Source organism: Homo sapiens, chromosome 1 (assembly GCF_000001405.40).
Source record: "Homo sapiens chromosome 1, GRCh38.p14 Primary Assembly".
Taxonomy (NCBI): domain Eukaryota; kingdom Metazoa; phylum Chordata; class Mammalia; order Primates; family Hominidae; genus Homo; species Homo sapiens.
This window is the reverse complement of record NC_000001.11, coordinates 99,283,030-99,310,098: the sequence shown is the minus strand read 5'-3', so window position 1 is coordinate 99,310,098 and position 27,069 is coordinate 99,283,030. Positions and strand designations below refer to the sequence as shown.

General features: G+C 35.7%; 1 protein-coding gene across 3 annotated transcripts in view, besides 1 other annotated feature; it reads right to left on the bottom strand.

Annotated features, from left to right (window-relative positions):
* Positions 1 to 514: 514 nt before the first annotated feature.
* Positions 515 to 27,069, bottom strand: part of PLPPR4 (phospholipid phosphatase related 4) — a 46,661-nt gene continuing 20,106 nt past the window's right edge. For 2 of the 3 annotated variants that reach the window (XM_011542498.3, NM_014839.5), the window contains exons 2-7: positions 21,949 to 22,134; positions 13,232 to 13,361; positions 10,869 to 11,064; positions 9,133 to 9,190; positions 8,202 to 8,375; positions 515 to 4,414 (exon numbers count right to left, since the gene is read on the bottom strand). In XM_011542498.3, the coding sequence (XP_011540800.1) occupies positions 3,089 to 4,414; positions 8,202 to 8,375; positions 9,133 to 9,190; positions 10,869 to 11,064; positions 13,232 to 13,361; positions 21,949 to 22,029 (1,965 nt within the window). In that variant the 5' untranslated portion in view covers positions 22,030 to 22,134 and the 3' untranslated portion in view covers positions 515 to 3,088. The remainder of the gene's footprint in view (positions 4,415 to 8,201; positions 8,376 to 9,132; positions 9,191 to 10,868; positions 11,065 to 13,231; positions 13,362 to 21,948; positions 22,135 to 27,069) is intronic. The other variant, NM_001166252.2, reaches the window with a different exon arrangement.
* Positions 3,669 to 4,868: an enhancer, noted in NCBI's record as "CDK7 strongly-dependent group 2 enhancer chr1:99770787-99771986 (GRCh37/hg19 assembly coordinates)". NCBI's record gives its function as "activates an origin of replication core promoter dependent on BRD2, BRD4, P300/CBP, MED14 and CDK7 cofactors, with strong dependence on CDK7, by STARR-seq in HCT116 cells {active_cell/tissue: HCT116}" and the evidence as "EXISTENCE:reporter gene assay evidence [ECO:0000049][PMID:35650434]".

Here is a 27,069-nt window from a genome sequence, read left to right as displayed (position 1 = left end):
CCTTAGGACCATTTGAGTAAATCCTAAGTTCTGGTTGTGGTCTAAAAACTTGTGCTAATACCTTCCAGTGAGATGTACAAATCATCAGCAGTAAAATTAATATAATGAGCCTTAATGGCTTGAAAGAATATCGTGGAGTTAATGGTGAAGCATTCTTTTAAGAAAAGCTGCAACGCCAATGGCCATGATGACATAAAGGTCTCTACTGTTTGGGAAAATAAGTACATCAACTACTCTTAGTCAAGTCCTTCATATTTTCTTTTTCATACACTGTAACATTGATATGCAAAAATATGTGTAAAGTATAAAAGAGCTCCTTTAATAAGCATAAAAGAAAATTCTAACAATAAGAAAACATGTCATAGATTGAGAAACTTTTCTTTCTTAGTTGTAACCCATTCCTAAACAATTATGAATTTAATCAATTCTGATTTTTTCTTATTTCCTCAGTTATTTTCCTACAAGCCAAGCTATTATCTATTCAGACTCTGAAGTAAAAACCAAACTATTCCAATTTTGATGAAGAAATCTAATCTTTATTTCTATGATTTTAGCACAATATACTCACACAATAGCTTTTATCTGTACTTAACAAAATACATTTATAGCACTTTACAAACTTTATCAGTTTGGAAAACATTGCATAACATTTTTTTAAACACAGTACTTTATATATACTATATATATTTTCATAATTTTATTTACTTTAAAAAGATAATTAACTCTCTTTATTCAATACTTGGTTTTATCAGTAAAGCACAGCCTAACAAAGGAAGAAGTGCTCCCATTAGCAAATAAGATAAATAGAACACTAAGAAGAGATACCACCTTTTAGTCTGATTTATTTTAAATTAAGGTACCAGTGGAATGTAAACAAATTTTTTTGTAATTTTTGTTTTACAAAAGACATGTTATCAAATATACATGCAGAGGTCTGAGTTCTAGTGTCTATCATTATATGTCCTTAACAATGTGGTACAATTTGTTAAGTCATTAAAAACTGTAGCCTTTGGCACTTTGAGTAGAAAAAGAATATATCAATATTTATGTAAAGAAAAAAAAACTTCAATGACTAGAGAAGTACTTTAAAATCTTTTGTTAAGAAATAGGAAAGATTAGGAAATATCATACTGCACCTGAAATGCTGCAGCAGGGGTTTTTGTTTGCTTGTTTTTGTCCTTCAGAGTACTAAAACCAGCCCACCTTTTCCTCTACAAACAGGCAAAAGCCAGTATGAGCGTCATGATGGCGGTGGTGGTGAGAAGTGGGGAAGGCAACATTTTATTCCCACTCCCCTCTCTGAGAAGGAAATTGCCAGAAGGGATATGGTTGAGTCCATGTTTTATTGCCAGAGTTTTCAATTCTGCTGGTTTCAGCTAAATTCCTAATGCCTTAGAGGTTGGTTTTTCTAGAAAGCTCCACCTTTTTCATGTGGAAATTGATAATGATGTGATACTATTCATCTGTAAACAACTCCTTCTGTTATTGGAAAGTGAGCTAAGATCAGATCAACCATCTCTGTTGTTTCCTTTCATCCCCTTGGCAATCATCAAGTATATATCGGAATTCTTATGAAATGGCATAAAAAAGGTTTAATACTAAGTTCCAAGAACTGAGTATGTCTTCATACTTTAAGTTGGAAAACACTCCAAAATATTTTGTTTTTATCTTCTTCTTATCAATGGTATTGGTTTGCTTTGATTTAGGCTCAAGGCTTGATTCAGGATAGGTAGCAACAATGGTTGTTTGCATGTTAAACTAAAACTGCACCTATTCAGATATTTTGAAGAAAGTCATTCTTAATTTGTACCGTGAGATACTTTTACTTACCAACATGCATTTTTTTTTCAGATTCTTCCTCTTGGTGTCCAATTAACAAAAACGTTTTAGAGACGAGTCAAACTTAACCAGTGTGGCTCTAATTTACTGGTCATCAGGATATAGAAAAAAAAAGTTAATAATGTAGAACCGAATGGGACTTTTAGATTACTTGTTAAGATGGCAACCTATGCCAGCTAGTTGTAGACATCTAAGGGCAAACTTGACCAACATTTCTGGCAATGTAACCCACAATGTCAAGTTTTGGCTCAGATTTCTTGTTTGCAAATTCACAGCAGTATATTTTGCTCAAGGAATGTCAATTGTTATTTTTGCTTTTAAAATAGGAGAACATATCTATAACTTCAAAAAATTAATCAATAAGTTAAGGAGAAGCCATAGAAAGCAAAATATGATCACAACAATTTCAAAAGATTCTCTAAAATAATATTTATAAAATTATGCAAATTTACTCACTAAGAAAACAGATTCATTAGCAGTACCTATACTTAAATAAAAAGTAAGCAGAAGAAAAACTATGCAGAAAAGTACTAGTTATTCCCTTTCACTGAAAATATTTCTACACAATTTTTGATGTTGAAGAAAGCAGAATTTTGAAGAAACGCACAAAAACCTTTTCATTTTTTGACTGTGACAGAGCCACTACAGAGAAGCTGCGGGGTGTCCTATTCTAACACAAAGCAGCCAGCATCTTCTTAATAAAGTAGCATTTCTTTAACAAGGAATTGCACACCACTATTTCACAGCTAAATAGAGTTTGAGAGTTTACATGGTATATGTACTATAATAATCAGCACCACCCGTATTGAGCTGTAGGTGCAGATTCTGCAAAATGAATATATAATACTGCATGGCCTCTGCTGTAGGGAAAACGTGTGTGTTCTGGGTTCCCACAGCTCACTATAAAGAAAAATCCCCAAAGTTGGCACATTCAGGAAGTAAAATAGTATACATTTGAAGAAAACCACTTTCTTTTGATACTGCCCTCTGCAAAACCTTTTAAGTTTGACGACAGGTCTTAAGAAAACTCTTCATATCATCACGTTAGTTAGGTTCTTGCATTGTGCTTTTCCCTCTCCTTGATGTGAGATCTGCAAGTTTGAGTATAGCAGTTCTGAAAAGTTACAGAGTTCTGGGCTGATGGTAGACAATCTAGCTTGGTGAGACTTCCCAATTCGCTGGAACAGAACACAGGTAGAATCAACATATGGTCTTTTGCGAGTAGCCCTAATGATGGAATGGACATCACTCAATCCTTATAAGCCCGTGTGGGGGAGGTTCCTTTGTAGAAGATATTTCTAGTGTTTTCGGGGCTGTTGCTTCTTTCAGGGATTAGAATGATATTGCCCTTTCTCCGCAGGGTGGAGTCGCGGGAAGAAGAAATGGACAGCGTCTCTGAGCCAATTTCGCTGCCCTCTACTGGGGTGACGCGGATGGTGGTAATTCCGTGGTGGTGATGCTCATTGCTATCAATGTTGCTTCTCTTGCGATCTCCAGAACCAAAGCTGTCTTTCAGAGACTCACAGCTTTCTGAGTCCCTGTTGAGATCGTTGAGCTCGTAAGTTTGGCGAAGGCTGCCCTTTTCAGGGGCTTTCCACTTCCAGGAGCCACTGCCTTCACCTTCAGTGGACGGGATCTGTATGATGGGCCTGTTGTTCTCTGGGTGAGCCTCAACCCTCACTATCCCACTGGGCTCATGGTCTGTCAAGGTTTTATAGCGGATGGAGCCAGTGCAGGAGACCGTGCTGCCTTCAGTGTTCTTGGGGCTGCTTTGGAGGACACCCTGCTGCTTGGACATGGCTATGACTTGCATGATTCGGGGCTGGCTGTTGCTTCTGTTACAGGCCACAGTCTTTTCAGCAGCTTTTAACCACTTGGCCCGAGCAGAGCTGCTTTTGGGGGAGGTGCTTATGTTTTCCTGAGTCTCCTCAGGGATGTGCACCAACTGTGAGGACCCAGGACGGGACTGAATGGACACTCTTGGCCCTCCAGGCATGCTGTTGTTACATCCGGGGACAGCGCCAGGCTGGATTTTGAGGTACTGATTGCCAGGACCATGGTGGTCTCCATTCACCCCTACCCTCGATGGCTCTGAGCTTGACCTCATTTCTATGGATCTGGGTGGTGACTGCCCAGGCTCAGGCTCTATAACTTGCAAGGACAACTTTCGACTTTCATTCTTATTCTTCCACTGGGTGAGGAGCTGCTTTGATCGAGCGGAATCCATAGAGGCATGAATGCTCGCATTTCTTCTGACAGGGTCTTCTACAGATGGGGTATTGGCTCGCGGCAAGGTATTGCTGAAGGTAACCATGTTCTCCTTCCCCATGGGGCTCCGTGGAGTAATGATTTCCACATCAGCATTTGCTCTTTTGAGATTTGTCAGAGAGCTAGCATCTCTGTGGTTTCGGTTGAGGATGCCTTCTGTATGAGCAATTCCATCACTGCTGCTACCATTTTTAGCAGATAAAAGTCGGTTGGGATCTTGATTGAGGTCTGTCAGAGACCTGAGGGCGTCTCTGTGCTGAAACATACTCTCATCACTGGGCAGGAAATTCCCCACAGCATACAAGCCCTAGTGTTTGAGAGAAAGCAATAAATATCATGCACTAGAAGACAGTCACTAGGGTTTCCTTAGAGTACCCACTGAAGTACATACATAGGTATATGCTTCCTATACACCATTGACTAGTACAAATAATGAAACATGAAAACTATATTTTTGCAGGGAAATACTTTGTAAGTTATATCATAAATCGCTGCATGAATTGCTCAGCAATGTGAACCCCATTCTTTTCTCCATCCTACTGGATGTTTTTGTCTATCTTATCCTGTGTATATTTTCAGAAGAAAAAGCAGACAAGAGAGAAATAAGGACTTTTTTTCTGCTTTTCAAAGCAATTCATTTTTCTGGATTTAGGAACTTCTTGTTGCGTGACATCTCAAATGGCTTAAATGATTTATTTTACCTTCCATTTTCAATCATATGATGGAAAGTAGAAGAAGTGTACAAAATATAGAACAATATATCATTTATAAAAAATGATATCTGGTTTTGAAAGAAGGTCGGAGACATATGTTATTACGACTCGCACTGACTACAGCCTTGTGTGTTCAGCATTGTACAGGGTGTTCTTGGAAGACAGGGCAAAAACCATCGCCAGATTGGGGCACCTAGATTCTTTCCTGATTTAAACTTGGTCATAAATTGGGAAATACTATTTGATCAATTTAGTACCATTGCACTAAATGTGAGCCAGATTTTATTTAATTTTGTCTTCATACACAGTGTATCTTTTTTTGTTTGTTTTAGATTTGGGAAGCAAAAATTTGGAAAAAGGCTAAAGTTCAGACTCAAAATCATTACCCTTTTGGCACATAGAAGATCTAATCCCTGCTGGACTTTCAGTTTTTGAGATACTTGGTATTAGAGATAAAAAATCAAGCAGCAGACACCTGTTTGTGTGCTAATTTCAAAAGGCGGTAACCACTGTCTACTATTCAAGTTCAAAACAAAAAAATATTGATTTAACATTTTATAGAATGCTTAACAATGAACAAAGCATTGGCTTAGAACTGAAAATTTTCCAATTTCAGGGCAAGAGTACAGACAGAAATGAAATAAAGCCAAGCTCCTGCCTCTTCAAGTATTTTAATTCCTGGTTGAAACCATCTTCTAAATATCTGTCTATGCTCTCACCAGAATGAGCAATCCCTAACTCATGTTCTATTAATAATTGTACTTAAATTTGTAAGTTGGGGAAGATCCTCCACTAAACTATAAGCTCTCCATACAAGTACAGCCATGTGTCATTTAATGACAGGGATACATTCTAAGAAATGCATTGACAGGTGATTTTGTCATTGTGTGAACATCATAAAGTTCACTTACACAAATCTAGATGGTATAGCTTCCCACACACCTAGGCTCTATGGTACAGCCTATTGCTCCTAGGCTACAAAATCCTACAGTGTGTTACTATACTGAATACTCCAGGGAATTGTAACACAATGGTAAGCACTTGCATATCTAAATATAGAAAACATATAGAAAAAATTCAGTACTCTAATCTTATGGGATCACCATGGTATTATATATGGGGTCCATGGTTGACCAAAATATCATTATGTGACACATGTCTGTAGTTGTTTAATTCTTGTTATGACATGGGACAGAGAGTTAGTATCTTTATTTTGTAGGTGAAGAAACAGGCTTCTGAAAAGCTGTGTAACTTGGCTAAGTGGAGGAAAATTTGGATTCATAACCAAATCCTTTGCACTATAAATCCCATGCTAATTCCAGGACATCATGAAATGACACACATGCAAAAGCAATACATAAACTAGAGAGTGGCATTTCCAGTCTCCTTTATTTCTTCTGCAATGCACATTGCCAACTAACACTCCCATGGGCAACCCAGGCTTATGCACAATTCCTGGCACACCAATTTTAATTTGATCCCTTTCTCCTGCAGTGAAGAATGCATGCGAGTGAGAATAACTTTTAAAGTGACAATCTTGACTGTGCCTGTTTATGAAAATAAAAAAACTTATAAAATTATAGCACACTTCAGTACTTTACCTGTATTTTGGTAATAATTTTCTTGTAATGCCTTTCCAAGGGCACTAAGACCACATGATTGAGAACTGTAGCTACAGATAATTTATTTTTACTTCTGTCAGCTCTTCTCAGTTTCTTTCATTATTGCCTTTTCCTCCGCATGTCACTTGTTTATTGGTATTCCCTGGCTACCTTTTATTTTTATGACCTGGCAGTTTTATATAACCGTAGTAACTACAATGGTACTTCCATTAAATATCCTTCTCCAATACTGATTGCTCTTTTGAATTCCAGAAGCAACTACTTAACTGCTTATTGATTCAATTGATCCCCTCAACTCCCTTTACCCCACAAATCTGCTTCATCTGTCATTTACCTGGTCTGCTAATGAAGTCATCATCTGTCCAGTGTTCCATGCTGGAAACCTGGCCATTATGTCTCATTCCTCCTGTTCCCCCACCTTCCACTTCCACTTGCTCTTTCAGATACCTGTCTCTTTGCATATGTAGTTTCTTCTTCTTGAATGCCCTCCCTTCTTTCTTTACCCCATGGAACTCCCATTAAAAACAACAACAACAACAACAGCTACACACATACACATCACTTTTGTGACGTCTTTTCTAACTTCCTCAGGCAGTTTGCTATTCCTAAAATACTTTGTTCATACCCTGTTATATCGTTTAACATGTTGTAACCATTTATATTTATGTTAGTCTTTACATTGTAAACTTCTGAAGAATACATCTCAATAGCAAAGACTTGGAACCAACCCAAATGTCCAACAATGATAGACTGGATTAAGAAAATGTGGCACATATACACCATGGAATACTATGCAGCCATAAAAAATGATGAGCTCATGTCCTTTGTAGGGACATGGATGAAATTGGAAATCATCATTCTCAGTAAACTATCACAAAGATAAAAAACCAAACACCGCATGTTCTCACTCATAGATGGGAATTGAACAATGAGAACACATGGACACAGGAAGGGGAACATCACACTCTGGAGACTGTTGTGGGGTGGGGGGAGGGGGGAGGGATAGCTTTAGGAGATATACCTAATGCTAAATGACGAGTTAATGGGTGCAGCACACCAGCATGACACATGTATACATATGTAACTAACTTGCACATTGTGCACATGTACCCTAAAACTTAAAGTATAATAATAATAATAATAATAAAAAAAAGAATACATCTCATTTCTCAGTGTTACAATGTTCAGTATAATCCCTGGCACGGAATAGATATTGAATAAATGTAAAATGCATGAATGCATGCATGCATGACAAAATGAAATGGACAATCTCAGTTTCCTTATGCTGAGGATATTTCCCTTAGAGGGGGACCAGGCTTGAAAAAAGAGTAGTGTTAAAGAAGTCAGTATTAGTTGGATCACAGTTACATTCAGGTGCTAAATTTGTGGTGTGGGGCAAGTTATATAACCTTTAACTAAATTTTTGCTTTCACTAACCTTACTTTTGGCAATAATCACTTTCCTCATCTGTAGCATTATAATTATAGTAGTAATAGTAGTCCCTGCCCACCTCCTGTTTGGTTGGCATAAAGACAAAATTCAGAAATCTTTCTAAAATTACAATTTCTGGCTCATAGTAAGAGTTCAATAAATGATTTTGTTGAAAGTGAGATATGTGTTTTGGCATAGAATGGAGATGCGGCCAGAGATTTTCTCATTTATATAAAATATATCGCAAGGAAGCTATTATAGTGCAAAATATTCTATGCATGTTTTCCATTTTAAACTTTGGCTTATAAGATAATAGTAACTTATTTACCAAGTACAGTGCAATTCCTCCTCCTATTAAAAAGCCACAATAGACATCAACTGGGTGGTTCTTATACTGAGTTATCCGTGTTAGCCCGCAGATTATTCCACAGATGATAAATGTGAAGACCAAGAGAGGTTTCAGAAGCTTAGAGGAATCCGTTAATGTGGAATTGAAGTACATCTTAAAAATGGAAGAAATGGGTTAAGTATGTTAGAAAGGCCATTTTATTAGTAAATTATAATCAAATAAAAGTTAAAAGTCTGATACAATTGACTTCAGTTTTACTGTTTCACCCCCTCTTCCTATGGCTATGTTCTGTGCCTGCCAAGAAGGGATATGCATGATGAAATTTATCAAATAAATAACAAATTAATTACATGAAAGTTGGAAAAATACCAAAACAGTAGAGTTAACCATTTAACTGTTTAGTCTCCATGTTACTTGTCGTATAATTTCGCTCATTTTTCTCAGGAAAGACTTCACGGACTATTGTACAAATTAGATAAAATGACTATTCATTGTACAACATTTCTAAATTTACACTGACCTAAAACTTATTGTTACAGAAATACTAAAGTAGCGTACGTGTGTGTGTGTGTGTGTGCACGTTGTATGTCTTTGTGGGTACTTATTGTGATTCTTTCAAGTTTTGTAACATTCCTATAATTCACAATATCCTCCTATGAAGTATAATATTAAAGGGATACCAGAATAAATAAATACTATTATAACTGTGTAGAAAAATTCTTTTACTGTACTATTTTTTATAGTAGTGTTTGATTTCTGCTTTGGATGCCATTGTATTGAAAGGCTGCAGTGCTAAATTTACCATTCTGTTATTACATGGTTATATCATCCAATTAGTCACCTGGAGACAACATTCATTCCTCAGATTTTCTGTAGAACACAACTTAACAAAAAAGAACCAGTTACTTACCGAAACATACACAGCTGCAAAGGCAGCAAGGGTTGCATGTTGAGAAGGGAAGGACTTTCTGCCAAAAGAAGATAGTCAAATTATGCCTTGTAGTTCAGATACACTGCTAGCAATCATCTCAAAGACACTGAGTGGTTAAAATGTTCAACTTAAAAGTCACAAGGCAATAAGCAATAATTTTACCTTCTGTCCAGCTTTCTGGTGAAAGACCTTAGTGATAAAATAAATGCTGCTAATCACCATTAATATTAACAAATAGTAGTGATGTAGTTTCCAGTATAAAAAACTGCTAGCTTGGCAAGGGGCCACTTCATTACATCACTAGAAGGATGGTTGAAGTAAAAATGGATTGGAAAACATCATTGTTCTTTGGTGTAAGAATTATACCAGTTCTAAGTAACAGCTCATAAAACCTAGGGGTTTAAAGCTTTAAACTTTTTCTATGCTCCTAAACACATTGTTTTATTTACATAAAAATTTTAAAAAATGAAGTTATTTTCTCATGGCATTGGATCTAAATGTGTTTTGTTAATACTCTAGAAAGCATAAGAAAAGTCTAATTTTAACAAAATGTTTCTCTACAAAATTAACAAAATGTAGTACACTTTACAATAATTTCATCTCAAGAATTATAGATCATCTTATTTAAACAGTTTAAAGAGCAGGCAAAGATAGTGAAGAGACTCTGAAAAGGGCAGGCAAAAGAAGAATAGAGATTTGTTTCAATGAATTAAAAAATTAGAAAAAATAAAATTCACTTAAATTAGTGCCTTCCTAATTATTTGGTACCATGATAAACAAGATCCCCATTCAACAGAGATAAGTTAATGTAATAGGACTGAGAAAAAAATAGAGGACATAGGTCTTGACTGTAGATCCAAAATTATTGAATGATACATGAGAACCTTAATGTGTATAATCACATAACATCAGGCTTTAATTATTCAGGTGTACCTATTAACTTATTTTTGACTCTTTAGTCAATATTTGGCAACTTATTGAATGGAAAATTCAATTCTTTCAATAATTGATTGGCCCTTATCCCTCTGCAATTTATTTCTTTTGAGACTGTAAACTACTATCTCTTGTCATGTAAGTTTATTTTTGCTTTATTTATTAAGAAATGTAATGCATTGGTAATTTCTTGAGTTTCCTTTATTTTCTGACATGTAAGGCCAGAAGCTATGCACACCCGGGTTCATTCAAAGAATGAATGAAATTATGTCACAGAGTCTGGGGCATGAGTTAGATCTGATTCAAAGAAAACATATGCAATCTTAGATGTTACCCCTCCTCAAACTTTACAAAAAGGAAAATTCACATTTTTTTTATGGAACATATAATGGAGATATAACTTTCATATGTGTTTAGTTTTTAAACCAGTACAAGAGTTATATTGACTGCCAGCCATGACTGACTGTAAATATTCTGAAATAAACCATTTATAGTAACCTAAAACCATAATGAGTATAGGATTGATCACAAAACATGGTGGAGTTTGGTGAAATAGGGACTAGTAGCAAAAATGTGAGGCTGAAATTTGGAGACATAGAGAAGAATTTGGAATAAGCCCCCAATGAGTTTCTATGGTTTAGTAATTGAAGAGATCATTGAATTGAAAAGAAAAATAAAAACAAAATCATTATGACTGAAAGAGGCATGCTTAAAGTGATACTCCAAGCAGCAATTGAATAATGAAAACAATGATGCAGAGTGTTTTTAGATCTGTTTCTAACCTGCCACTGTTGATAACTGTGAGGTCAGATCCTGAGCAAATATCTTCCACAATGTAGGAATTTTCTTTGCAAGATACATTCAGAGAGGTATAGTTTGGTTTGCACACAGTCAGAAAGTAAGGTGCTTGATATCCTGTGGACAGCTGTATGATATCTGTAATGAGAGCTGTAGAGCATAATCCAAATACATGAACACCTATAGGCAAAATGAAAGAAATTGTTACCAAGTTGGTGGTTGTGTCAGCATCAAACATATTCATTAAACATTAGTGAATTAAGATCTTAAAATCTATTGTGTTCATTTTCTCTAAGTTGATTTCAAGAAGACAGTATAGAAAATTCCTAAACTTCTAAACAGATACTTAAGTCCAAAATAAAGGCAATGAGTATCTCCAAAGTAGTAACTTTAGGCACTTTTGTTAATTTGGTGATAAAGTGCCAATTCTTAACATTAACTGTAAGTCACTTGTCAAGACACTTGGAACATGCTAAGGTATTATTTGAGAGCGACGACATGTGTGGAATGAAGAAAAATTTAAAGTAGTTTTAATTTGCTTAGCGTTTTTAAGTTGCCAGGGTTATTTCTCCCTGATGGTCTCTAACACTAGCCACAGTTATCACACCCTACAGAATCCATTCTAATTCTCTTCAAGCTGTGATCATACTAGGAATGCTAATTAAAACAGAGAAGAAGTCAGACAGGCCCTAACGTGGAAATGACAATCGTATCCTAGGTACACGAATGTGGGGAGCCCACGTGTGTGTTTGGAATTTGGACACGATGTTCTTACATATCTTGGTCCAAATTATTTTTTCTGTTTCTCCTAGGACCAATTTTAAACCATGAAATAAAAAAATCCTTGCACTTGTACATGCAAACTCCATGCCTGCTTGAAGTTGTTTGCTTGGCCTTATCTTTGGGAGTCCAGCTCTCTGCTCACAGGCACATGATCTGGAACTTTCTCACTCTAGGTTTTCTTGTCACCCTAGATTCATTCTGACTTGACAGCTTGCATTCTGATTCATGAGTTGCTCATAGAAATCATTATGAGAGGACCAGGGTAATTCTTCAGTCACCGCCTCCAGACCAAGAGTGCTGGCTTGCACATTACCCTGTTTTACATTTTTCTTCACTGCTTACTGTCACCTAACCACCATTCCTCCAATTGCTTCTCCACCCACACACCTGGGATTCATGACACAGAAACTTTATTTCTACATTCTAATTCCTAGAAGCATGCAAAGACTTACTTTTTCCTTTGGATAATGGACTTTCTAGACCTGTCGCTGATGCAGGCTCTGGAACATTGTTCTCTAGGGTAGAATGGATCATCCTTCCAGTCGAGAGAGGGTATGTGGCCCTTTGTCCAGAGTATTTTGTTACATTAGGGAATATTTTCTCTGTGTGCAGCTACATGTCCTGGAGTTTTATTTCCTTGCCTGAGTTTGCGATGCTGTTAAGCTGTCTATTGTTTTCTTATCATCTCAATGTGATGGTAAGAAAATGCTTAGTGGAGCAGAGTCTGGGGCATGAGTTAGACCTGATTTTTCCTCTTGTGGGAAAGAAATTTGTGTATAATTATCTACTAGGGATTAAGCAAAGCCATCAATTATTTTGAGCTTACATGTTACAGGTAAAAATAACTTTATGCGGACTTATTGGGAATGAATAGAAAACATTCAGGTTAGTGTGATGTATTGTGTGTGACTATTCAACTATATTAAAAAAATAAAAGACCTATGACTGGAACAACATTAGGATGGTCCAATGCTAAGCAGAAGAGATGAAGGTTTGAAAACTGGTTTGATTCAGATGCTGGTAGCCAGGTCTATAGATTTTCTATAGGTCTCATAAAAGATGAAAGGTAACATTAGGGGCTACAACCAAGGAAAAATGGCCATGATGCAGTACTCAATAGTGACATTTCAAAGTGTAGTAACTTCTGGATGGAAACACTCCAGGACAATTGAAATGGAATCATTAATGTGGCTAAAGTAATTCCTGAAGAGTTGTCTATTCATTCTGGCCTGCTGACGTTTGTTCTCCATTTTGAAAAACTGACCACAGATCCAGTGAAACCATTTTAAAATAAATTCATACTTCAACCAGAGCTAAGGCAAAAATAAATTGAAACACATGGCATATTAGCTCTCAAAACAAGGGCTACAACTGTAAATAACACATTTCAGATACAAAACCCAAATTTTGGTGTTTTAACAGTTTCTTGTACAATATAAAACTCATCATGTACTGAAATTATACATCTAAATTATAGCGTACGAGACTTAATATCTATAATTAAATATAACATTTCAATATAAAAAAAAAAGCATTTCTTTTCTTTGTGGTTCCCCACACCCACCAACGAATCTGACAGCTCGTCTGAGGAAGGAATTGAAGTTGCAGCCTCCAGCATTAATGTTGGGCTCTAGTCCGACCCCATTTCTTCTTTTGGAGAGGCAACAGTAGAGAATTCCTTCTCCTACCATAATCTGCAAAGATAGAAGGGTATTCAGGAAGAGGCATGTTGGAATACCTATTAAGCCAACAGGTATAAAGGAATTATATATCACTTTTTAACATATCAATTCAATAAAGTAAAGATGTAAATTTTCTTAAAAGCTGTAGAGGCACAGCAATTTCTTCTGAGAATTTGATCAAGCAGTGAGAAGTAAGTAATCAGGCCACTCTAATGAGATTTTGTAGGGTCTTCTGGACTCTCATGTACTGGAACATTTTACCAGCAGATTAGGTCCATAAACCAATTTGGGATTGAGCAGAAGGATCAATCCATGGAAAGTATGTGAGTGTAGAAAGGTGCTTTCTATAGCATAGCTGTCCCATAAATATTTCTGCAATGATGGAACTATACTTTGCACTGTCCAGTACAGTAGCCACTACCCATATGTAGGTATTGATCACTTGAAATATAGCTACTGCAAATGAGTAGCTGAATTTTTAATCTTATGCCATTGTATTAATTATTTAAAAATTAAATACACTTAAATATAAAATGAAGTGGCCACAGGTGGCTAGTGGCTATCTTATCAGAGAATGAAGATTACAAGAGAATCTAGGTCAGAAGGGTAGTATTTCCTAGATATAGACATCTAAACAATGTATTCACAATGTCATACAGTAGTATCAAGAGGACTCTCTTAAGATAAGGAACATGGCACTTTGCTGCAGGATTTTAGGACCTGTGAGATCAATGAAGGAACTCAGTATGATTTAGGCATGATTTCCCTCAGTAAGTTTTCTTTGAAACCTCTTACTGTACCCTAAATTGAATCACATCTCCGTCTATGTGGCTCCCTTAGCATCTTATCCTTCCCTCTAGCATAGCTTTATGAAATTGTTCATTTGGCTGTCTCTCACTAGACTAGGGCCCTCTGAGGGAAGAACCATTTCTTATTTACCTTTCACCTTCACTTGTCAAGCACAGTGCCTGGCACGGTGAGAATTGCATTTTTGGCTTTTACTGTGGGACTCACATTTGCTAACTACCTTAGGCCGTTGGGTTGTCAATTATTCTGTACAACAGAAGCAAGATTTAAAATTATCCATTTTATTCATGAAAAAGTCTTTCAAATATTTGAGATAATTGTGCCTAAAAGATTGTTGTGAAATTAAATATTGATTTGCTATAAATGCGTGGAGCTGAGGAAAGTACAATTAATGAGATACAAGCAGTCTCTTAAATGAGATACTAACAGTCTGTTAAATACAACTAATCATGTCACTGTAAATACTATAAACCTGATTTGGACTGAAACAGGTTTTCCATAGAAAACCTCTCAGTTGTCATTACTAGCTTAACATTTATTTTATGAAGTGTTCAAAATTATAGTTTTTTTTAAAAAATCTAATGACAGCAAGCCTATGGCCTTCTGCTTTGAATGCTTAAATTGCTATATTTACTTCTGTAGGGAATATGGTACATGTTTAATTATAGAGAATCTTACTTTGTATTAAAAATTTAAAGAGTAATTATCATAGTAGAACTCTACCTATAACCATATGTGTGAAAATCATGTGGCATAATAAACTATTTTAAGATCAATCATTATAGAAATAATCAAAAGTAATTCATTTCAAACCATTGGATGCTGAGTTAACCATTTATACTTTTTGAAAAATATAGTCCTACATTAGCACTTCAAGTTAGACATAGAAATTCAATAGGTTCTATACTCTGTGTAGACAGATACAACATAGTACAACAATTACACAGAATAATATAACTGCTACCTCAAATTCATCATTTCCAGAAAATTAACCACTTATTCTTGAAATGTATTGTATTCAGCTAAAAGAGGTTAATTTCACCTTCACTTCTTCAATAAAAATTCTGTGAATAATTTTTTTTCTCTCTGTATAATTATATTTGTAATGATTACATCTTGTCCATGAGTGTTGAATTACATAAGAATTTATCTGTATAGAAAAGTGTGTTTTGTCATACAATACAATAGTCATTATCTCAAATGAGCTTGAGACCTTGAGATTTCAGGAGTTTTTTTTTTTTTTTTTTGAGACTGAGTCTTGCTCTGCAGGCCAGGCTGGAGTGCAATGGTGTGATCTTGGCTCACTGCAACCTCCGCCTCCTGGGTTCAAGCCATTCTCCCGCCTCAGCCTCCCAAGTAGCTGGGAATATAGGCATGCACCACCAAGGTTGGCTGATTTTTGTATTTTTAGTAGAGACAGGGTTTCACCTCGTTGTCCAGGCTGGTCTCAAACTCCTGACCTCAAGTGATCCACCTGCCTCTGCCTCCTAAAGTGCTGGGATTACAGGCATGAGCCATCGCGCCCGGCCAAGAGTTTTATTTTAGTTGTTTGAATATGTTCAAAACTCATATGCAAAGAAAATGCATCAATACTTATTTGTCTAGACCATGTAATATGGATAGAGGTTTCTTGTCAGTATTCTGACATCACCCAACCATCCCTCTCATTAAACAGGACATTAATTTTCTCCTCACACTCACTTCTGTCACTTAACCTCAGCTAATGTCATTCACGAGTTTTCAAAATAATTCAATTTGGCATAAAGATAGGTCTCCTCAGGGTATAGGGAGATGTTTCCCAGTGCGTTTCCAAATGCCCAGCTTATTTCTCCTTTTTTTTTTTTGAATGGCACAGTGTTGTACTGAGGTATGGTGTCAGAATTTAGGTTCTGATAAGAAAATTATTTGTTGCTGTTGCATTTGTAAACAGAAAACAGTTTACAACAAGTATCTTTTCACAATCTCTGTTTTGTGCTGTACCCAACCCTGAAAAGGACGCAATTTGTTGTTGTTGTGGACAGGTTTTGGGAGGAGATATTATAATGACTACTTCAGGGGAGATTTTGAGAGGAAATATATTTCTTAGTACTATAAGGACCCTAGCCATGGAACAGTCATCATAGGGAGAACTCACAGTCCAAAAAGTCTTTCTTGTAAAACAAAACAACAAAAATTATTATAGTATTCATCATAGTATCTTCAATGTTTCAATTTTCAATGAATGTTTTTTGGAAGCCCTAACATGTCTAATATTCTGCATATTGATTGTGTAGCCTCCTAAAGCTAAGGCTATTCCAGGAGCTAGAATTAAATTCTGATGGAATTCTTCTATAAAATTAGATATATTAATTCTTTAACAATGTGTAATAAAATTGTATTTCCAGGAAGAAAAAGCGCCCTTTTTTTTCTGTTCACATAGACTTCATGAAGATTTGTGATAAACCCAAATAGTCTTTCTTGTTTTCTCTGAGAAATAATCTCCAAAGAACCTAAAACAGAATGCTTGTTTTATCACTCTAAAGTAAATGAAAATTGAATATTAAGGAATAAATTTTTCAATTTAAGGGCAATTTCAGAAAAATAAAAATATACATTTCACATAAATGAAATACATTTTTCCACTTCCATGTATAACATCACAAAGACAAGTTATTTTTAAACATCTCTCAAAGCATTAAAAAAATCTGGGAAGCAAATACTGAATGATTCATATTTAAATTCCTGCATACAAATCAGCCGATCTTTTTATTCATATGAAGGTCCTTTTGGAGAATCTGGCTGAAGCGAGGCCTTTTGTTTTGCTTTGCCTTACCCCCACTCCACGTGGCGGGTGTCAGCTCTCCTCACACAAGTCCTTTTGGACACTCATTCCCAAACGGAGAGTTCTGCTTACCTCCCTACCCCCTCTCATGACCCCATTTTTGGAACAGGCTTATGCCACCCTAAAGATAGAAAAGAAACTGGCATCCTTGAAGTCAGAAATTAGAGCCTGTTATTTTTACTTTCAGGAAGAGAGAGGGAAAGGAGTTAGCATAGCTGTATATGTAGGAAGATTCGAGATAGAATTATGGTTCTAGAACAAGATGACTGCAGACACTGGAGGATCACTGCTGAGAAAATGTATGTTTGGGGAGAAGGCCTTCAAAACCAAGAAAAAAAAATGAAAGTAGAGTGAAATCTAGAAGTATAGTATATGTTTGGAGAGAAAGCTGTGACAAAGTGTTTGATGTCAGCAAAGTCAAATCTGTCTCACCATCCAGTTGGTTACCTAAAACCTATAAAACCAGTGTGGTAGGAAAGAATTGCTGTCATCTTGGAGTATCCTGAAGTGATATAGGGAAATCAGGGATCCTGAAGTGTAAATAGTCCCGTAGTTTGCCTTTCCTTCCACGAAGAGGCATGCAGCAGCTATGGAGGTTCTGTGGAGATGCAGGAATTGAGTGGCACCTTTCTGGAAGGAGTTGGCACTGGACTTCCTACGTCAGCCTGGTGGAAGGGAGCCATGGTGTATTTTCCCTTTTATTTCTCAGGCCTCAAGAAAGAAAGTTTTAATGCCAAATCTCTCAGAAAGCATCTCAAACTTGTATATTGAGAATTTATTATAGGACGAGAAGGAGTCAACACAAGCAGGCACACAGTGATGACACCAAGGTTATTGTCCCCAGGACATGTACCAGTGTCAGCAAAGGAAGCAACATGAAATAAATAGTGCTGGCAGGGAGTGCCACAACTAAATTTGCTTTCCTAGCAACTTGATAAAATACCCTGGAGGAGAAAGACTTCTAGATATATACAAAGGAAATTGTTTCAATGATTACATATCAATACAGTTTTTATAACAGAGGCATGATCATTTGTGTAGTATGTTAAGTAATTTATCTCAAATTCAAATATATCAATTATAATAATTTTGAGCACTTTTAGGATAAGCGCTTTCTGGTGTGACAGTATGATACATTTAAAGCATCTATATATATAAAATTTATATATATTATAAACTCTATCTATCTATCTAAACTTTTATTTCAAGTTCAGGGGTACATGTGCAGGATGTGCAGGTTTGTTATATAGGTGAACACATGTCATGGGGATTTGTTGTACCCAGGTATTACACCCCATATCCATTAGTTACTTCTTCTGATCCTCTTCCTCCTCCCAGTCTCCACCCTCAGGTAGGCCCCAGTATGTGTCTTTCCCCTCTATGTGCCTATGTGGTCTCAATGTTCAACTCCCAGTTATGAATGAGAACACGTGGTGTTTGGTTTTCTGTTCCTGTGTTAGTTTGCTAAAGATAATGGCCTCCAGCTCCATCCATGTCCCTGCAAACGACATGATTTCATTTTTTTATGGCTGCATAGTATTCCATGGTGTATATGTACCACATTTTCTTTATCCAGTCTATAATTGATTGGCATTTAGGCTGATTCCATGTCTTTGCTATTGTGAATAGTGCTGCAATGAATATACGTGTACATGTGTCTTTATAATAGAATGATTTATGTTCCTTTGGGTATATACCCAGTAATGGGATTGGTGGGTTGAATGGTAGTTCTGACTTTAGGTCTTTGAGGAATCACCACTCTGTCTTTCACAATGGTTGAACCCACAACAGTGTATAAGCGTTCCTTTTTCTCCACAACCTCACCACCATCTAATATTTTTTGACTTTTTAATAATAGCCATTTTGACTGGTGTGAGATAGTATGTCATTTTCGTTTTGATTTGCATTTCTCTAATGATCAGTGATGTTGAGCTTTTTTATCATATGCTAGTTGGCTGCATGTATGCCCTCTTTTGAGAAGTGTCTGTTCATGTCCTTTGCCCACTTTTTAATTGTTTTTTTTTTTGGTAAATTTGTTTAAGTTTCTTACAAATGCTAGATATTAGACCTTTTTTAGATGCATAATTTGCAAAAATTTTCTCCCATTCTGTAGGTTGTCTTTTTACTCTGTTGGAAGTTTATTTTGATGTTCAGAAGCTCTCTAGTTTAATTGGATCCCATTTTTCAATTTTTGCTTTTGTTGCAATTGCTTTTGATGTCTTCATCATGAAATCTTTGCCTGTGCCTATGACTTGAATGGTACTGCCTAAGTTTTCTTCCAGGGTTTTTATAGTGTTGGGTTTTACATGTAAGTCTTTAATTCATCTTGAGTTGATTTTTGTATATGGTGTAAGGAAGGGGTCCAGTTTCAATTTTCTGCATATGGCTAGCCAGTTATCCCAGCATCATTTATTGAATAGGGAATCCTTTCCCTATTGCTTGTTTTTGTCAGGATTGTCAAAGATCAGATAGTTGTAGGTGTGCAGTCTTATTTCTAGGTTTCCTATTCTGTTCCATTGATCTATGTCTCTGTTCTTGTACCAGTACCATGCTGTTTTGGTTACTGTAGCCCTGTAGTATAATTTGAACTTGGGTAATGTGATGCCTCCAGCTTTGTTCTTTTTTCTTAGGATTACCTTGGCTCTTTGGGGTCTTTTTTGGTTCCATATGAATTTTGAAATAGATTTTTCTAGTTCTATGAAGAACATCATTGGTAGTTCAATGGGAATAGCATTGAATATATAAATTGCTTTGGATGGTATGGCCATTTTCATGATATTGATTCTTTCTATCCATGAGTATGGAATATTTTTCCATTTGTTTATGTCATCTCTGATTTATTTGAGCAGTAGTTTGTAGTTCTCCTTGCAGAGCTCTTTCACTTCTCTTGTTAGCTGTATTCCTAGATATTTCATTCTTTCTGTGGCAGTTGTGAATGGGAGTTCTTTTTTGATTTGGCTCTCAGCTTAACTGTTGTTGGGGTATAGGATTGCTAGTGATTTTTGCACAATAGTTTTGTATCCTGAGCCTTTGCTGAAGCTGCTTATCAGCTTAAGAAGCTTTTGGACTGAGACAATGGGGTTTTCTAGACATTGGATCATGCCATCTGGTGACTAGTCAGCAATAGTCTTACTTCTCTTCCTATTTGAATCCACTTTATTTCTTTTTCTTGTCTGATTGCTCTGGCCAGAATTTAATACTAGGTTGAATAGGAGTGGTGAGAGAGTTCATCCTTGTCTTGTGCTGTTTTTCAATGGGGAATGCTTCAAGCTTTTGCCCATTCAGTATGATGTTTGGGTTTGTCATACATGGCTGTTATTATTTTGAGGTATGTTCCCTCAATACCTAGTTTATTGAGAGTTTTTAACATGAAGGTATGTCAAATTTTATTGAAAACCTTTTCCGCATCTATTGAGATAATCATGTGGCTTTTGTCTTTAGTTCTGTTTTTCTGCCCTGGTAAAATGACTGTATAATATGAATTTTTTGTTAAAACTTCAGTAAATAATAGGAAAATAATGTTATTCTGAGCAATATCGCACTCCAAGAATGTTTTATTAGTCTCAAAGTCTCAGCTTCTTCCAAGTACATTATTAATAGTTCTAGTAATGTGACAGTCACTATAGAATAACTCATTAATTTTTAAAGTGTTTAGAGACCTTTCAAATATGATAAAGTTCTATGAAAATTAAGTTTCAATTTTATCTTCTGAGAATATTTTATACACTATGTATTTAAATTGTAAACAGCATATTATAATTATTTAATATTGGGGAATTAAAAAATCCATAGCTACATAAAAATATAGAGTTTAGAACATCTGTGCAGAGACTCTTCTTAAACTCTGCTGTACTGAACCTGAATAGGCGAATTCATTAGAATGTGGAGCTTTCAAATAAAGCTTTTAATTTAATAGCCATTTCCTTTGACATTCATGAACATGCTAAAAGCAAAACAAGAGTTTTTCACTGTAGAAGTAAATACCATTTCCCTTGAAAAGTGTTTCTTGTCCTCTTAGGTAGTATTTTTGGGGCAAAAGAGGTGGTGAAAAGGGTTGGCCAGTCTTATTTATTAATAGATTTATCTAAAAGTGTGTTACTCACAATGTATATTAACACATTAAAAACAACTATGTTTTGAATTCAGTTCCAGTACATTAGAGCATTTCTTTATGTACATATTTTATTTATTTAGTTATTTATTTTAGATTTTTTATTGATACATGATAGATGTACATCTTTTCAGGGTATAGCTGATAATTTGATACATTCATATAACATGTAAAGATCATATCAAAGTAATTAGGATATTCGTCATCTTATATATTTATCTTTTCTTTATGCTAGGAACATTTAAATTATTCTCTTCTAGCTATTTTGAATTCATGAACATATTTTAAAATGAAAATGCCTTTTCTGAATATAAAACAGTTTATTATTTGAGTATGTCTGTATGTATGTGTATGTGTGCATGCATGCATGGCTGGAATGAGTTTTTATATCTTTATAATTATTTATGCTCAGTATCCATAATCAATAAACAGTGATAATCTAGTAAGAAATAAAACTGTGAGTGATAGCAAATGCACTTTTGGCTATGTAATTTCTCCCCCATTTTTTCAGGCTTCAGATACTAAATAAACACATGTAAAGTAAGTTAATTAGGAAGTATATCAGAAATGTCCTATTAGCCATTCAAAGTGAATTATAAAGTTACAAAACTTTTCATAATGATTAATAAAAATAAACACTAGGAATCAATCATTTCTCCAATCATAAAATGTTTAAATTTTAATGCCAATAATGTTAAGCTATTAACTTCCACATGATACTGTCAATATATCTCAAAGACATGACTTTGATTTAGGATTTAGAGTTCACGTTTTGTTTGCTTTGAACCCATTTATTATACAAATGTGGTGATTTTTAGTTTTCCAGGACAGATAAACACAATTTTGGGGGTAATTCTTACCGTAATTGCAGGTCCAGCAAAAGCCAAGCTAAGCAACATGAGGAATGGAATTGCCTCCTGGGTTGGTTCAATGTACGGCATGCTAAGACTCCGGTCATAGCAGCTAAATCCAGAGTGCACAGGTTTGAAGACATCTGTGAGTTCGAGGAAATAGAGGCTAACCACCGATGATGCCAATATAGGCAACTAAGAATGAAGGACAAAGAAGATCAATTTATTCTACCTGATATACAGGGCATACATAGAAAACAAGTGGCTTTCTCTCCTTCTCTCGCTACTCTTCTCCGATTCCAGAGTTAAAAATCATTCATAAGTTCTATTACTTCTACCTTCAACATGGATTCCAATTCACCCCCCTTAGTCACAGCCTGTTACGCATCTATGTTGACCCCAACCTTCTAATTGGTGCTACACCTCCACTCCTACCCTCCCACCATACCCATTCATTTTCCACACAGCATTCCAAAGGGTCTTGTAGAAATATTTCAGATCAGACAGGTCAACATCACAGATAATCAGAAAAATGCAAATCAAAACCACAATGAGGTACCACCTCATGCCAGTCAGAATGGCAATTATTAAAAAGTCAGGAAACAATAGATGCTAGTGAGGCTGTGGAGAGCTAGAAACGCTTTTACACTGTTGGTGGGAATGTAAATTAGTTTAACCATTGTGGAAGACAGTATGGCAATTCCTCAAGGATCTAGAACCAGAAATACCATTTGACCCAGCAATCCCATTACTGGGTATATACCCAAAGGAATAGAAATCATTCTAGTATAAAGACACATGTGCATGCATGTTTATTGCAGCACTGTTTACAATAGCAAAGACATGGAACCAACACAAATGCCTATCAATGATAGACTGGATAGAGAAAATGTGGTATATATATATACACCATGGAATACTATGCACCCATAAAGAGGAATGAGATCATGTCCTTTACAGGCACATGGATGAAGCTGGAAGCCATCATTCTCAGCAAACTAACACTAGAACAGAAAACCAAACACACATATTCTCATTCATAACTGGGAGTTTAACATTGAGAACACGTGGACACAGACAGGGGAACAACACACACCAGGGCATGTTGGGGGTTGAGGGTTGAGGGGAGGGAACTTAGAAGACAGGTCAATAGGTGCAGCAAACCACTATGGCACACATATGCTTATGTAACAAACCTGCACATTCTGCACATGTATCCCTTTTATTTTAGAAGAAATAAAGAAAACAAACAAACAACAACAACAAAGTATTTCAGATCGCATCAGTCTAGTGGTTCCCACTCAACTTGAATAAAATCCAAATGCCATCCCATGCAATGCAAGTTGCTTCATGCTTTGGCTCTTGATTCTTCTTGTACTACGTTTTCACCACTTCTCAGCCCTCTGCTCACTGCAATCTAATTGGTTTTCATTCTTTTCCTGTAATATTCGAATTCATTTCTGCCCAGGGTCCTTTGTGCTTGCTGTTTCTTCTTCCTTTTGTGCTCTTTTTCTGGCTCTTTATACTACTGCTTCTTTACATCATTTAATGATGCCTTTCTGCACGCTTTACCCAAGGTAGATCTTGATCCATCCTTCACTCTCTACTTTATCATCTTGCTTGATTTTTTTCATGACACTTATCATTAACTGAAATTACCTTGCCAATTTAATACTTCACTTATTTATTTTTCATCTCTCCCAGTCTCCCACTGAAATAAGTGCTCTATGAAGTGAGAATCTGCCAGTGTTATTTATAAGTCCTGGCACTTGGTAGGCAGGGAATACATCATTTAATAATTTAAGGAAGCAATCAATACTTGTTGATAACTAGATAATTGAATAAATGTGTAAACCTTAATTTAATTACAATAACTAGACTAGAGTTAACAGAGTTAGCTAATAAAAATACAAGTCACCCAGTGAAATCAGATTTTCAGATAGCAATGAATAATTTTTAGTGTAAGTATACCCCATGCAATATTTGAGAGATACTCACACTAAAAGTTATTCATTGTTTATCTGAAAATCCTGACTTCACTGGGTCTCATCTATTTGGTCTCCCTAAACTAGGCACAGTGTACTTTCTAGGCTTTGTGTACCATTTTTGTGTTTAATTGTTTATTCATTCATGTGTGAATGTGCTAGGCACTAATGTAGGTAGATATAATATAGTGAATAAGAGATAGACTTGGTCACCAAGGAGCAATAGCTTAGTGAGAGACCTGCTCTCAGCTAAAGAGAAAATATCACACATGCTTAACCTAGTGCCAGACCTTCCAGAACCCAAAAATGTGGACTTACATAACACTCAAAGAACTGCTTAGTTTAAGGCTTTGTTCCTTTGGAGGATATAATATTTATTTAAGCAAACAGGAAATGTTTTTGATAAAGACAATATTAGCTACCCATGATTTCTGATTGTTTGGTTTGAAAAAACAGTTTTTTAATTTTTATTTTTAGAAGACAGCATTATGTCTTCTATTCCCAAGAGGTCTTTTTTTTTGTAGTTAGGAAATAATTAGGTTTACCGGAAAAAAAAGAAATACATAGTGAGTAAACTTGCATAATCTTTCTGTTTTTCAGATGGATGCTTTGCAGAGAACAAAAAGTATATCAAAAACATTTAGTTTTTCTTATCGGCTATTATTCGATCACTTCAAATATCTGATCATTTTGCCTCACTACTTCCCTCTCCTATAGTGCACGAATAGTAGCTTTCAGTCTTGACCAATAAATCAGCGCTTCGTGGTGCATGCACATTATTGAAATTTCCACTTAAATCCATATAAATATATTTAAGTATTAATTTAACAAATACTTCATAAAGTGCTTACTACGTGCCAATATTATGTTTTAGAAATTTTAATTAATTTGACATATTTTAAACTCATTTAACCTAAAACTTTCTATTGTGACATAAGATAGTTGCTATCAGTATCCTCATTTTGCAGGTGGATAAGCAGTTACATATCGTAAGTGACAGAGGTGGATTTTGAATCCATGAATTCTAGTTCCACAGTCAACAATATCTGGAATAAATAGTTTATAAATATTATTAAGTATTGTTGTTATTGTTATAACCAGTAACAATAATATATTCACTAAACATCACCTTTCTCATGAAGCTTTACTTGATAATACCTTTTGAGAGTAATTTCTTCAGTTTTAATCCCCTAGTACTTCTTTTTAGGAAATATTTACCCACTGCTCTTTTTTATCTGCTATAAACTAGGTTTAGTCTTTTGCTTTGCTTCCCAAACTAAAATCTCCTTAAGGCAGGGGCCTAATCGTACTGATTTCTATGTTGCCACTGATACACGTTATAGTGACTTCCAAATATATACGCATGTATCTCTATATATACATATATGCCACATTAACATATGAATTAAAGTAATTTGTCATTAATATTATGCATTAGTCTTTTCAGCCAGTAGCCTTCCTGAAACTGACAATTTTTCCAATTATATCATTTTTCTAATTATATAATTTTCCATATATATATTAATATCTTCTATATTTCTATAGAAGCATGTTTTAAAACCTTCATTTGTTTTCCTAATAAGAATCTTTTTTTCTCTGGGCGCAGTGGCTCACACCTGTAATCCCAGCACTTTGGGAGAGAGGCGGATCACAAGGTCAGGAGTTTGAGACCAGCCAGACCATCATGGTGAAACCCCATCTCTACTAAAAAGAACCTTTTTTTCTTTTTGATGTTTATTTATCTTATTTTTTAAAAAGCATATTTACTCTGCTCCTTACATCATTTTGTTTGTAATAGTTATTTGTATAAAATCTTCATTATATTCATTATATTTTGGAAATAAATAATTTTATACATGGTGTTCCCATACTGTAGTTTACTACCCAATGTAATGAATTAAATGACAATGTTTATTTCTAACATAATTGTCTTCAGAGTTACCTTTTTATCTTTTGAAATGCTCAACAACAGATTTTTTTTGAGTGTAAGGAATTTAACAGACGGTATGTGCCGGTTTCGGCATACATATAGAATTGATATGCACATAATAAAATTACACAGACTTGTTTCGATTGCATTTAAAATGAGATTTTGAAAATGAGATTTAAAGAGATTTTTTAAAAGTCTACATAGCCAAGAACTACAAATTTTATTCTCTAGTCATGATACAGCCCCCAAAAAAGTGTGAACCAAGCTTTTTTTGTTTTGTTTTTTTGTTTTCTGAGACAGAGTCTCGCTCTGTCGCCCAAGCTGGAGTGCAGGGGTGCCATTTCGGCCCCCTACAACCTCCACCTCCCGAGTTCAAGCGATTCTCCTGCCTCAGTCTCCTGAGTAGCTGGGACTACAGGAGCGTGCCACCACACCCGGCTAATTTTTTTGTATTTTTAGTAGAGACGCGGTTTCACCGTGTTAGCCAGGATGGTCTTGATCTCCTGACCTCGGTGATCCGCCCGCCTTGGCCTCTCGAAGTGCTGGGATTACAGGCGTGAGCCACCGCGCCCAGCCAAACCGAGCTATTTTTATGCAGCAATAGAGCGGAGGGAAATTACCTGAGGATTAGGAAAGCGGTTTATTTTCAAAAGGAAAAGACTGATTCTTATAATTACCATCTGCTGAGGAACCAGAAGAAAAATTATAACTGTTTTAGAGAACAGGGCAAACAAAAGAAAGGTGTTTTAAAATACCACATTTGCTAGATAACATTGATTTTTCTGATGCCAACTTTAAAAAGACAAATCTAGATTATATATCCATTTTAGTGAAACATTTTATCAAAACTATCATGATATTTTATCTAGATCAGACAGCTTACTTGTTTTTAGCCTGATTATAATAAAGACAAACTACTTTTCACTGGGGAGAGTTCACTTTGCTCTGAGCCTAGGGCAATACAGATCAGTTCCATTCTTTGCCTCTCTCATAGCCATTGTGAATTCAGAGTCCTATAACATCCTTTTGAACTGGTGGAAACCATAGTCACAAAGGGCCAATTTATATGCATGGTATTGGTGCCTCATCCATTTATTCATTCAACAAATATCTTTGATAGCCTGCTAGTCCCAAGCCTCGTTCTAGGTCCTGGGAATACAGTTATGATAAAACAAAATATCTGTTCCCATGAATATTTCATTCTAGTTGAGGAAG